General features: G+C 42.1%; 1 protein-coding gene and 1 pseudogene across 6 annotated transcripts in view; both read right to left on the bottom strand.

Annotated features, from left to right (window-relative positions):
- SLC16A14 (solute carrier family 16 member 14) overlaps positions 1–14,086 on the bottom strand; it is a 33,943-nt gene that overhangs the window by 17,078 nt on the left and 2,779 nt on the right. For all 6 annotated transcript variants that reach the window (XM_005246353.5, NM_152527.5, XM_047443523.1 and 3 more), the window contains exon 2: positions 7,035–7,307. In XM_005246353.5, the coding sequence (XP_005246410.1) occupies positions 7,035–7,293 (259 nt within the window). In that variant the 5' untranslated portion in view covers positions 7,294–7,307. The remainder of the gene's footprint in view (positions 1–7,034; positions 7,308–14,086) is intronic.
- On the bottom strand, positions 6,172–6,265 carry RNY4P19 (RNY4 pseudogene 19; annotated as a pseudogene).

Consider the following 14,086-nt stretch of genomic DNA (forward strand, 5'->3'; position numbering starts at 1 on the left):
CCGTGTAGCTGGGACTACAGGCGCACGCCACCATGCCTGGCTAATTTTTGTATTTTTAGTAGAGACGGGGTTTCACCGTGTTAGCCAGGATGGTCTCGATCTCCTGACCTCGTGATCCGCCCGTCTCGGCCTCCCAAAGTGCTGGGATTACAGGCGTGAGCCACCGCGCCCGGCCTAAACATACTTTATATAAATGTTATTTGTTATTAAATATGCACATTATAGAAATAATATATAAAATAAATGCACTGATAAAAAATCTGATGGAATTACTGGGGTTAACTGAAATTCACATACCGTAAGTTAGAGATACTTGTCTGATTTCTTTACACATTTTTATTTTTGTTTTTCTAAACCCATGGTTACTTGACTATGCCTAGCTTGGATGAGTGGGTAAAAAAAAGAAAAATGCATGACTTGTCAGTTTGCTGTTTGTAGCCTTTTCAAAGGTCAACAGATCACAGTTCAGTAGCACAATCATATTTTCCACTTCACAGAAAGGGCCCAGAAGCAAATTTTTCTGAGGTGCTTTATGAAACATTACATTAAAAAGGCGTTTGAGAAAAAAAAAAGGGAGAAAATTCCAAACTCAGTGCAAATATTCATGTCTGGAGGAATTTTATAAATTTAAAAAAGTATAACTATTTAACTGCTAAAAACATTAACTAAACAGCCAGGCACTGTTACAACTTAATCAACTCTCGCATGCTGGGGCTTCAGTCATTTATGATTTGCAGATGAGCCAAGCGAGACCCAGAAATGCTGTGACTTCTCCATGGTTATAAAATATATGTACATTGAAAAAAAAATAAAAACCCAAGCTTTTTGACTCTCAGTTTCCTCCCTCCTCCCCCCCTTCCTTCCCTTTCTTTCTCTCTCTCTTTCTTTCTTTCTTTTTTGAGACAGAGTTTCACGCTTGTTGCCCAGGCTGGAGTGCAGTGGTGCCATCTCGGCTCACTGCAACCTCTGCCTCCTGGATTCCAGCGATTCTCCTGCCTCAGCCTCCTGAGTAGCTGGGATTACAGGTGCTTGTCACCATGCCCAGCTAATTTTTTGTATTTTTAGTAGAGACAGGGTTTCACCATGTTGGCTAGGCTGGTCTCAAACTGCTGACCTCAGGTGATCCACCCGCCTCAGTCTCCAAAAGTGCTGGGATTATGTGAGCCACTGTGCCAGCTGAGTTTCATTTTCTACCCACTGTTTACTGATGGTCCACTAGCATTGCCAAAATCAAACCACCATTTCCAGAAAATAAAAGAAGTCCCCTCACAATCTAAGGAGAAGGGGGAATCATACAATTGAGATACAATCCTTTGACCATGACTCACACTTTTATAGAGTAATTCAGTGTTTTAGGATGAGATTATTCACATTATCTGACTTTTTCATTTTCAGAAGAAATCTGAATCTTGGACCATTTCCCACTGTAATAAAGTGTCCTGGCCAGGTGTGGTGGTTCACACCTGTAATCTCAGCACTTTGGGAGGCCGAGGTGGGTGGATCACGAGGTCAGGAGTTCAAGACAAGCCTGGACAAGACGGTGAAACCCCGTTTCTACTACAGCTACAAAAATTAGCCAGGTGTGGTGGCAGATGCCTGTAATGCCAGCTACTTGGGAGGCTGAGGCAGGAGAATCGCTTGAACCTGGGCAGCAGAGGTTGCAGTGAGCTGAGATCGCACCACCGCACTCCAGCCTGGGTGACAGAGTGCGACTTCATCTAAAAAAAAAAGTGTCCCACTGCTGTGGGGAACACCCTCAGGAAGTTATATTTTATTGACCCATCCTGGCAGCTGACAGGTTGGAAAAAAGCGCTGGTAGAGGAGCAATCACAGGTGAGCCTTGGCAGTTCTCAGGGATGGTTACAGATGCTTTGAACTCCAGGTCTCTTAGGGTAACCCCTCACCATAGTAAAGAGTTAGGAGCCTCTAAATCAATGAACTGTTTGCCTTAGCTGAACAGTGGTGTTGCTTAGGAGCTTAAAAAAAAATCCTGATACTTGGAGCCCATCCCAGGTGCAGCCTGAGGTGGGGGGGGAAGTTAAAGCTCCCCAGGTGGATCTGATGTGCAATCAAGATTGACAATCACTGCTATAAAGTGATTTAGCAAGTCATTTATCTTGTGTAGCCTGTGGATTCCCCCAACAATAGGGCATCCCCCAAGAATGATTCAGAGCTAGCCTCACAAAGGCTGCTGTAGATACTGTGAAAAGAAAATACAGACTTGGCACCCCAATTCACTCTGCCAAAAGAAAAAAATTAAGCTGAAAGCTGAGTCATGCAAGCAACTGCCTTTCCTTTTATTCCTAAGCAGTTAGTCACAGAGAAAGGGTTATATAGCTCCACAGGTAGCTACTCTATGTTCACCTTATTTTATGTAAAAGTGCTGATTTACTGAGTGTGAGATGAATACAAAATTGATGATTCCCCTATCTGCACCTTTTCTCTTGCAACACGTGGATGACTGTACCCTCCCTTTCTCCTCCAGCCCCCTTTTCCCCTTTAAATGTTGAAGTCCTCAAAATCATCTTTGGAGAAAGGCACAGGTAACAGACTGTTTCTGTGATTCTGTGTTTATTTCTTCTGGGCACCTCCCTACCCTTGGCTAAATTAACTTCCGGATTGATTGAGACCAGTCTCAGATATTTTGTGGTTTACAATACAAATGAGGTGATTACGTTTTATTAAAAGTTGGGACCTTCTGCAGGATGGTGATGAATTCATGCTACTCATGGGGCTGAGGCAGGAGAATCGCTGGAACCCAGGAGGCAGAGGTTGCAGTGAGCCGAGATCGTGCCACTGCACTCCAGCCTGGGCGACAGAGCGAGACTCCATCTCAGAAAAAAAAAAAAAAGAAGAAGAAAAAAAGAAAAAACCACGGACCTTTCTAAATTTAACAGGTAGCCCAAATGTGCTTACAATGATTAGAACGTAAAAACCATTTGTATTATTCATTTCAAGTATGTTTTCAGTTCTCATTTGATGTAATGGCAGGCAGTGTCATAGTAGACACAATTTTGGAGTCCCATGGACCAGGTTTAAAGCCAGTTCTACACTTACTGGCTGTTCAACCTTCAGTAAGTTACTTAATGTCTCTGAGTGTTGCATATTCTTCCTCTGTAAGATACAGACAATGGTCTGGCCTCCAGTGTTGTAGGATCAAATGAGATCATGTACATTAACGTGCATGTGGCATGCAGTGCGTGCTAAATAAAGGAGAGCTGTTACTGCGCGTTTCTGGCTTGGAAAGCTTCCCTGAGGCTGCTCAACAAATCTGCAGCCACCCTGTACCAGGAAGCTTGGGATAATGGACAATAATTTTAGGTAAATAGATAGAATAAAAGACCTTTCATTTATATAACTATGAGGCCTGCTGTGTTATGTTATGATTTCTGAAACTCAGCAAAAAATGTTTATCTGGCAGGCAGCTTTCCCTGTAGAAAGATTAGTCTAAAATCTGAAATTCCACAGTCTGGAATTCAGGGACTCTCAAACAAAATTCTGAACACACAGTTACCTGTCAATTAAATTAAGTATGACCATCACATTTCACCATGAGTTAGGGGTTCTTATTTTGGGGATCATCTTTAAAACCATATCCAATAATTTCAGAACTAGTTTCTGTTGCTTATTTTCATAGGACTTATGAAACATAATATCTAAGACCAACTTATTGGATGGTTTGGAAAATATTGGGACATTTCATATCCTGGCCTTCTTCTGAGTCTTTTTTTGATGTTACTGCGTGCATACACTTCCAAGATTAAATCTACATGTGTTTTGTTTAACCCCTTACAAATATATTTTTAAAAAAGAAAGAAAGCTGGATTTTAAGTGTTCTAGAAACACAGTTTTCCTTTACTAACTTATTGAGAAAAGTAGAATTACAACTGACGTAAAACTTGAAGCCCGACACTGAAATAAACCTACCTGCGTGTTTCCTATGACAAACAGTCCTAGTTTAACAAAACAATGCAGATTTGAAGAAGTCAGTTCAACAATGTTACAGACAAAAATGATTTATCAGTAATTTTCTGACATACATAATGGTGCCTTTATTTAATTTTAAAACTATCCGTATTAATTCCCTTCCAGTAAACATACACACTTGCACACACATGTGCCACACAACTTGAGAAATAACACTTTGTCCTTGTTGTCTATCATTAGGACTACCATTGTTACTAATATTGGTGTTTTTTTTTTTTTTTTTTTTGAGACGTAGTCTCACTCTGTTGCCCAGGCTGGAGTGCAGTGGCGCCATCTCGGCTGACTGCAACCTCTGCCTCCTGGGTTCAAGCAATTCTCCTGCCTCAGCCTCCCGAGTAGCTGGGACTACAGGCGTTTGCCACCATGCCTGGCTAATTTTTTGTATCTTTAGTAAAGGCAGGGTTTCACCATGTTGGCCAGGCTGGTCTCAGATTCCTGACTTCAGGTGATCCGCTCGCCTCAGCCTCCCGAAGTGCTGGGATTATAGACGTGAACCACCGTGCCTGGCTTTAATATTGTTTGTATTATCAAAAATAACATTGCTGGTGGAGTGGCTCACACCTGTAATCCCAGCACTTTGAGAGGCTGAGGCAGGAGGATCTCTTAAAGCCAGGAGTTTGAGATCAACCTGGGCAATATGACAAGGCCCCATCTCTACCAAAAAGTTTTAAAAATCAGCAGGGCATGGTAGCATATGCCTGTAGTTTTAGCTACTCAGGAAGCTGAGGTGGGAGGATCGCTTGAGCCCAGGTGTTCGAGGCTGCAGTGAGTTACGATTGTGCTACTGCACTCCACCCTGGGCAACAGAGTGACACCCTGTTTCTACAAAAAGTAAAAAAAAAAAAAAAAAAAAAAAGAGTTGAATGCCAGCCAAGATCAACAAGTCTCTGAATTGCATTCGAGCAATTAATTACTAATTGGGAATCACTGAAAAGGCACAGATTCCAATCAGACACACATTGGCCTGGCATATGCATACTCGCACAAAACCGAAAAAGATTAGAGGCCGTTTATGTTTCCAGTATAAAATATATTATAAATATTTTAAATTCAGACAATTAGATATAAATATATGGCTTTCACCTTTAAGTGAAACAACTGAAAAACGTCATAGTGGTGGTTATCTCAGAGCATTGTTAAGGGAAGGAAATAAAATTAAATGAGATAATGTAAGGGAAAGCCCCTAGTATATCATAGATGCTTATTCAATATTAATTGACAGTAAGAGTTATTTCATTTTCAAACTGAAACACATTAGCCATCATAGCATTATATTTATAATAACTTCCCAGGTTTAGTATCTCCAGCTGTATAAGATTTGACTTCATAGATTGCTGTGTGGTTAGGTTTAACTAGAAAATAGAAGAATAGGGAGTGTATATTCAGGAAAACTTGAATCTATGTTCCCATGTTAAACAATTTTTTAAAAAAAGAAAATGCAGCCAGATGCAGTGGCTCAGGCCTGTAATTCCAGGACTTTGGGAGGCTGAGGTGGTCAGATCTCTTGAGGCCAGGAGTTCGAGACCAGCCTGGGCAACATGGAGAAACCCCATTTCAAAAGAAAAAAAAAGAAAATACAAGAATATATTGTTATTCCTTTCTGTTAGCTATATATCAGTAAGCTTTCTAGAAACAGTTTAGAAGATTTTTCAATAATGAAAAATCAATAATATTTCAAATTGAAAACATCAGAACTCAGGCTGGGCATGGTGGCTCATGCCTGTAATCCCAGCAATTTGGGAGGCCAAGGCAGGTGGATCACTTGAGGTCAGGAGTTTAAGACCAGCCTGGCCAACATGGTGAAACCTCATCTTTACTAAAAATACAAAAAAATTAGCCGGGCGTGGTAGTGGGTGCCTGTAGTCCCAGCTACTAGGGAGGCTGAGGCAGGAGAATACCTTGAACCTGGATGGCCGAGGTTGCAGTGAGCCCAGATTGTGCCACTGTGCTCCAGCCTGGGAGACAGAGCAAGACTCTGTCTTAAAAAAAAAAAAATATATCAGAACTCTGAAATGAGATTGTTACTGGACTTTTATAGTGTTTTATCTAAAATTTTTACCTTTAAAAGTATTCATAAATGTTAAACAAGCAGAGATTTATAATGGTACATAATGAATTATAATGGTTAGGCAAACAGAGTTTGGGTCTAAATAAAGTTTTTTAAATGACAGTTTTTTTTTTTTTAAAGCCAGTTAAATTTAGCAGTCAGGGGTTGTATACCAACTTTAGTGACACTAATATTAATAAGTTCTGATAATCCACTACCACTGGACCAGCCAAAATGATCAATTTTTAAAATACTCCAAATGTTTAAAATATTTAAATTGTTATATCACACAAGAGACAAGAGGACAAATATTGCATAATTTCACTTACATGAGGTACCTAGAATAATAGTCAAATTCATAGAGACAGACAGTAGAGTGGTGGTGGCCAGGGGTGAGGGAAGATGGGAATGGGGAATTCATGTTTATTGAATACAGTTTCCGTTTGGGAAGATGAAAAAAAGTTCTAAAGATGGATGGTGGTGATGGTTGTGAAAAAATATGAGCGTACTTAATGGGACTCAAAATGCTTAAAATGGTAAAATTATTTTTTTTTTTTGAAAGGGAGTCTCACTTTGTCTCTCAGGCTGGTATGCAATGGCACAATCTCAGCTCACTGCAACCTCCACCTCCCAGGTTCAAGCAATTCTCCTGCTTCAGCCTCCCGAGTAGCTGGGATTACAGGCACATGCCACCATACCTGGCTAATTTTTATATTTTTAGTAGAGACAGGGTTTTGCCATGTTGGCCAGGCTGATCTCGAACATCCGACCTCAACTGATCCACCCAACTTGGCCTCCCAAAGTGCTGGGATTACAGGTGTGAGTCACCGTGCCTGGCCTAAAATGGTAAATTTTATGTTATGCATATTTTATCACAATTGAAAAATAGTAGCTAGTAACATCCAATATCGAATGTTACAACAATATAAAACATCACTTACAGTGGGGAATTGTCATTTGATAACGATTCAGTTTTACGACAGGTCACACATGAACATACCCACTATCAAGGTGATGCCCATGCTGAGGGAGCTGACCCAGGCGGTCAGGCCGCGGCTCTGGTGGAATTCTTCCAGCCATTCCACGTTGAGGACACCCAGGGCCATCTGGGAGCCCATGATGAGGATGTGCACAAAGAAAGAGGAGAGCACCATCATCCAAGCCCATCCGCCATCAATGTTTGGGTGGGGCTTCAGTGTCTTTTTGTCTTTGGGGCCATCTTCAAAATCATACCCAATATCTTCATGACTGGTATACATTTTCCAAGATTTTTCTGAAATACATATAACAAATAATTTCATGGAACATCAAAAGGAAAAATATCTTCATCTTCTTTGTGCAGCTCTACCTCCCCATCAGGGTCAAAGTGGCTCCAGTATCACATCTGATCTTCAGGTTAATCTTTGTCACCATACAGATTTGAAAACACTCCTTACTGTTTCCCAGGAGCAAGTGCTTCTATGAAACCTGTTTCATCTTACAGCCATCACATATATAGGTATTACAATCTTGGGAATAGACTCAGAGAAGTAAGGTGATTTTCTAAGGCCTGTATTTAGTATGGTCAATTGGGAAACTAGGATTTGACCCCAGTTAGTCCTGACTCCAAAGCCCATACCCTGTCTCCCTTATAGAGATGGATACTGACAGGTGACAAGAAAGATGTCAAAGAAGGAAGATCTGGCTTCAGGCAGCCTTTCAGTGTAGCTTCACCTTGGTGGGGTCCCTAGCAGAGGATCTGGTTCTCAGTTTTTGTGGGTGCAAGTGTTAATTTGTTCAGTGCAGCCAGAGTGGATTAGCCTCAGGGGGTCTGGCTCATACTAACCCAGCTCAGGAGAGACTGATAAGTCCAATTGATTACAATGAAAGACATAGCTTTCTAATAATGGTGGTACTTATGTCTCATTATACAAGACTCATACTTTACTCCCCTCCACCCAACCCCATTCCTAGTATTTACACAGGGAACTTAATTAGTTACTAGAAAATTACTTCAAAAATAGGGTATCAGACTAAGGAGTTTGAATAGATACTGTGGTGACATACAGGTCACCAGGTGAGGTTATCAGGTAGGCAGGAGCTAGATCATGCAAGGCCCTTGTGAGCCAAATAAGGAGCTTGTAGTTTATCTTGTACATAATGAACAGCCATTGGACATAATGAGATGGGTACTTTGCATAGATCTATCTCTCAAGATGTTTGAATGAGAGGAGGGAGGCTAGATGGAGCTAGAGGATGCTAGCTCCTCTTTTGTTTGTTTGTTTTCCTGAGACAGGGTCTTGCTCTGTCACCCAGGCTGGAGTGCAGTGGTGTGATCATAGCTCACTGCAGTCTTGAACTCCTGGGCTCAAGGGATCTCCCACTTCAGCCTCCTGAATAACTGGGACTACAGGTACATGCCACCATGCCTAGCTAATTTTCATATGTATATATGTATGTATGTATGTATGGAGAGACAGGATCTCACTATGTTGCCCAAGCTGGTCTTGAACTCCTGGCTTCAAGCGATCCTCCTGCCTCAGCCTCCCAAAATGCTGGTATTACAGGTGTGAGCCACTGTGCCTGGCCTGTTTCATTTTTCATGGTTTTTTTTGGGGGGAGGGGATGAGAATTAAGTGTGTGTATAAAGACTGAGGATAAGGAGCAGGAGTCGGGGGTGGAGAGAGAGAGATATTATGATGATAATGACTAATCCTGGAGATGGTGAAACAGATTGGTCTTTATTAGGAAGAGAGACCCATCCTCTGAGTCTGGAGGAAGGAGGGGGTGGATGAACCTATGATGGTAGTGGGATGGAAAACCACATCTGATGGTTTAATTTCTTTGGTGAAGCAGGAAGTTAGGTTATCGGCTGAGAATGAGGAGGGCAGAGGTTGTGTAGGAGACTTAATGCTCAGAATAATGGAAAAGACTGTTGCCTACAACAAGTGGAAATGATTGCTGGGCAGTTCCAAAGGTCAAGTTGAGCCCTGCAGGGTCCCACTGCCCAGCTATGGCCATGGAGCACCAAGGACAGAGCCAGGGAGCACTCTGCCCCGGAGCTTGCAATAAGCTGGAGGACTTAAAAACAACAAACAACTAAAAGTTGGTCTGCTTTCTAAATCATCACTACATGCCAGCAATTCTAGACAATTACACTGAAAAAATGTTTAGCTGGTCTAAGTTCCAATTATGTTGAATTTTAATTATGTATATGTATGCTTCAAATTAGCTGGTTCTAATTTCTCATCCTTTTGTAAACATTGTATTCTACATGGAAGTTATTTCAAGAACTCCTGGTTTTACAGTTGACCCTGGCACATGTGTAGTCCCAGCTACACACATTATTTGGGAGAGGAAGCCCCTAAGAGTTCAGAATTGTTGGCAAAACAATACCCACTTGGCAAAATCCACACCCACAACCCCTGTGGTGTTATGTGTTGCCGCCTTTCTCAGAACACTCTAGGTGAACTGTGCCAGCACAACTATTGTCCAGAAAAAGAACCAGATCTCAAGTCACTTCACTTGTGTCACTCTATGTACTCACTTGGAGATTCTAGTTTACAATTTAAAATAGTGAAACAGTGAAGACTGCGAGGTACAAAACCTTGGTTTGGAAAGTGACATTTTAAATTAATACTTGAAATGTTTTACTCAATTTGAACAATATCTTTTTTTTTTTTTTTTGAGACAGAGTGTTGCTCTGTCACCCAGGCTGGAGGGCAGTGGCGTAATTTTGACTCTCTGCAACCTCTGCATCCTGGGTTCAAGCAATTCTCATGCTTCAGCCTCCTGAGTAGCTGGGACTACAGGCATGTGCCACCACACCTGGCTAATTTTTGTATTTTTATTAGAGACGGGGTTTCGCCATGATGGCCAGACTGGTCTTGAACTCCTGACCTCAAGTGATCCTCCTGCCTCGGCTTTCAAAGTGCTGGGATTACAGGCATGAAGCACTCTGCCCGGCTCACTATCTTTAAAATTGAAATATATTCTTTTAATTATTTTAACACAGAAGAACAATAACATAATGAGTATTACTGACCATTACATGATTATTACTGAAAATCATTTTGTTGCCATGGCAGAGGGTGATGTAAAAAAACTATCCATTCTGGGTGTCAAAGGCACTAAGAAGTCTCGAATTGTAGAGCTTTTCTCAGGAGTGTTCTGATGTGGACGGGTAGGAGAGAGGAGCAGATTGTGGCAAATTGCACAGTGCCTGCAGCCTATTTCTATCCACACCTGAGTTAAGAATTTTTTGTTTGTTTTTACCTTTTTTTTTTTTTTTTTTGAGACAGGGTCTTGCTCTGTCACCCAGGCTGGAGTGCAGTGGCGTAATCATAGCTCACTGCAGCCTTGAACTAGCAGGCTCCAGTGATCCTTCTGCCTCAGCCTCCCAAGTAGCAGGTACTACAGGCATGTGCCACCACAACTGGCTAATTTAAAAATTTCTTGTAGAGATGGACTTTCACCGTGCTGCCCAGCCTAGTCTCAAGCAAGCCTCCTGCTTTGCAATCCCAAAGTGCTGGGATTACTTTATCTTTCTAAAGGCTATGTTTCCCAAAAACCCTAAAATACTCTGACCACTTAGAGGAAAAGTTTGCTGACCCCTGGACTAGAGCATTCGTTCTGGCTAAGGGTTTACTGGGGGAAAAAATGAGTGTAGGGGATCCAAGGGTACCAGTGGAGAAGCAACTTAGTGGATCTGTCTGGGGATCATCTTCTTTCTTTCTGTCACACCTTGTTCTCATTATTATTTTTACATTTTAAATTATTCCATCTCCTCAACAGCTGTCCAGTCCTCAGCCACTACAGCACCTATGTGCAGTGCTGCTCTTGGCCTGGGTCCTTCCTCCTTCACACATCTGGCTACCTCCCATTATCCAGATTGCTGGGAGTGATAAAATGTTTATCTCAGAAGCCAATTTCCAGGCCGGCGCAGTGGTTCAAGCCTGTAATCCCAGCACTTTGGGAGGCTGAGGTGTGTGGATCACCTGAGGTCAGGAGCTCGAGACCAGCCTGGCCAACATGGTAAACCCCGTCTCTACTAAAAATAGAAAAATTAGTTGGGCATGGTGGCAGGTGCCTAAAATCCCAGCTACTTGGGAGGCTGAGGTAGGAGAATTGTTTGAAGCTGTGGGGGTGAAGGTTGCAGTAGTGAGGTGAGATCACGTCACTGCACTCCAGCCTGGGTTAAAGAGCGAAACTCTGTCTCAAAAAAAAAAAAAAAAAAAAAAAGCCAATTTCTTCAGCCCTTCGAATTATCATTAGGATGGAGTCCCTTCAGCACCTTCTCCCAGCTATTATGTGTGATTTTCTCTCCTTCCCCTCCTCTCTCCTTCCAGCCTCCTCACCTCTTCTGTTGATCCTTCAAGATTCAGTTAATTTATAATAGTGAAACCCTGAAACAGTGAAAAAAGACCCTGAAAACATCTTTACTATCTAACATCAGAATACTTGTTAAATCAATTGATTGTAGCATAGCTAGACAATGTAGGTCTCTCATCAATAATAAAGTTCACACTTTAGCGTGACCCTGTACATTTTCAAAGAGCCCTAGACAGCTTTATTTTTGACATATGTAATAATCTCTTTGTTATTTCTACTAAGACATGTATCCATAGGAAAAAAGACTGGAGCAAAACAAAGAAAAATGTTGATGGAGATTATTCTTTGAATGATGGTCTTACCAGTAATTTCCCGCTTCTTTCTACTATCTTAGTGGTGAGAAATTTCCTCAATATGCCAGGTGTGGTGGCTCATGCCTGTAATCCCAGCAATCTGGGAGGCTGAGGTAGGAGGATTACTTGAGCTCAGGAGTTTAAGACCAGCCTGGACAACAGTGAGACCTCATCTCCGTAAATAAAAATTAGCCAGGCACATGTGGTGGCGCATACTTGTGGTCCCAGCTACCTGGAGGCAGAGGTGGGAGAATTGCTTGAGCCTGGGAGGTTCAGGCTGCAGTGAGTTGTGATCATGCCACTGCACTCCAGCCTGGGAGACAAAGTGAGACCCTGTCTCAAAAAAAAAAAAAAAGTTCCTCAATAGATATATATTACCTGTATTATAAGAAAATAAAAGCTACCTTTAAAATATTGTCTGGATCAGCCTCTTACCTCCAGGTAAATTAGTGGCTGACTTGTAAAAGAGAAAACAAAACAAGATGACCTCTATTGGGAAGTCTTCCAGTATGTCTTGGGTTTCAGCCTTGTCTGTGTGTGTGTGTGTGTGTGTGTGTATGTGTGTGTGTGTGTGTCTGTGTATGCATGTATCTGTCCCCTTCCCAATGTCTGAGCCTGCTTGGGGCTAGAAAGGGATGGGGCAGCCCTTGCTCTCCAAAGCTTACAGCGCAGTGCAGAGCTGCATTGTCAAAGGGCCAGTGGATGAGCCCAGAGAGGGTTCAGAAGGGATGGTTGGTGAGTGTCTTCCCTCTGCCTCTGTTGTGTGCAGAATCCTGAGGAGCCAGAAACAGGAGAACCAGGCAGCTTGACACAAGGTGTGAATAGCTCATAAAAATGTCATTTTGCTGTCCATGGGAAAATGCTCAGCTATGTTTAATGTGATGAAACAACAATACATGGCATTTTCCTGAAGTTCATTTACAACCAAGGAAGGCTTTGAAGTAATACAAATTTAAAAGTTAGAGTTTTTTAGGCCGGGCGTGGTGGCTTATGCCTGTAATCCCAGCACTTTGGGAGGCCGAGGTAGGCGGATCACCTGAGGTCGGGAGTGTGAGACCAGCCTGACCAACATGGAGAAACCCTGTCTCTACTAAAACTACAAAATTAGCCGGGTGTGGTGGCGCATGCCTGTAATCCCAGCTACTCGGGAGGCTGAAGCAGGAGAATCTCTTGCACCTGGGAAGCAGAGGTTGCAGTGAGCCGAGATCGCACCATTGCACTCCAGCCTGGGCAACAAGAGTGAAACTCCATCTCAAAACAAACAAACAACAACAGGAAAAAGTTATAGTTTTTCAGCCCGTGTGTTGAAATATTAAGCACTTTTCTAAATCAATGATAAGAACTTTATATTCTTACTGAATTATTTATGGGTGAAGAGATGTAGGTGCCAACAAACTGCTCTTGATATTTCCAGTTTGTTCATAAATAAGTGACACTGAATAGCATTTAATGGACAAATTTTATTCATGAGGCACAAGGGTGCATGTAGAATATAGTAAAAAAGTTCTTTTTTTTTTTGAGATGGAGTCTTACTCTGTTGTCCAGGCTGGAGTGCAGTGGCATGATCTCGGCTCATTGCAACCTCTACCTTCCAGGTTTAAGCGATTCTCCTGTCTCAGCCTCCTGAGTAGCTGGGACTTCAGGTGTGCACCACCATGCCAGATAATTTTTGTATTTTTGTAGAGATGGAGTTTCACCATGTTGGTCAGGCGGGTCTGGAACTCCTAACCTCAAGTGATCCACCTGCCTTGGCCTCTCAAAGTGCTGGGATTACAGGCGTGAGCCAGCATGCCTGGCCCAAAAAGTTCTTTTGGATCCTCAGGAGGCCCCTATAGATCTGCTGAGCAATGGAGTCAGTTGTATTTCACACTTAAATCTCTCCAAAAGTAATTACTGTTTTGACTACTCATGGTTAACTTCTAGACCAACTAGTTAATGAAAACAAAAGACAACAGAAAAACAAATGTTTATCCCTCCAACTCCAAGATTGCTTGTAGCATTCATATAATTATATACATGTATAATTATATATGTATTTATATAAGATATAAGAATAATTTTAGTATTATAATCCTACTCCACACCTGGAGAGGGAGAACTTAGAGGGTGTATCTGTACCCCTAGGCTCCATGTCTTTGACCACCATAGGGCCTTCAAGCTCCCTTACATTTTCTACATCCTGACATACATGTAAAATGACGATATGCATGTGGCACCCTGAGGCAGTGAATGTGGGGCTTCTGCTAAGGATTAATATGTAAAATGTGGCAGAACACGGTGGCTCATGCCTGTAATCCCAGCACTTTGGGAGGCTGAGGGGGATGGATCACTTGAGGTCGGGAGTCTGAGACCAGCCTGGCCAACATGGTGAAATCCCTTCTCTGCTAAA

Source organism: Homo sapiens, chromosome 2, assembly GCF_000001405.40.
Source record: "Homo sapiens chromosome 2, GRCh38.p14 Primary Assembly".
Taxonomy (NCBI): domain Eukaryota; kingdom Metazoa; phylum Chordata; class Mammalia; order Primates; family Hominidae; genus Homo; species Homo sapiens.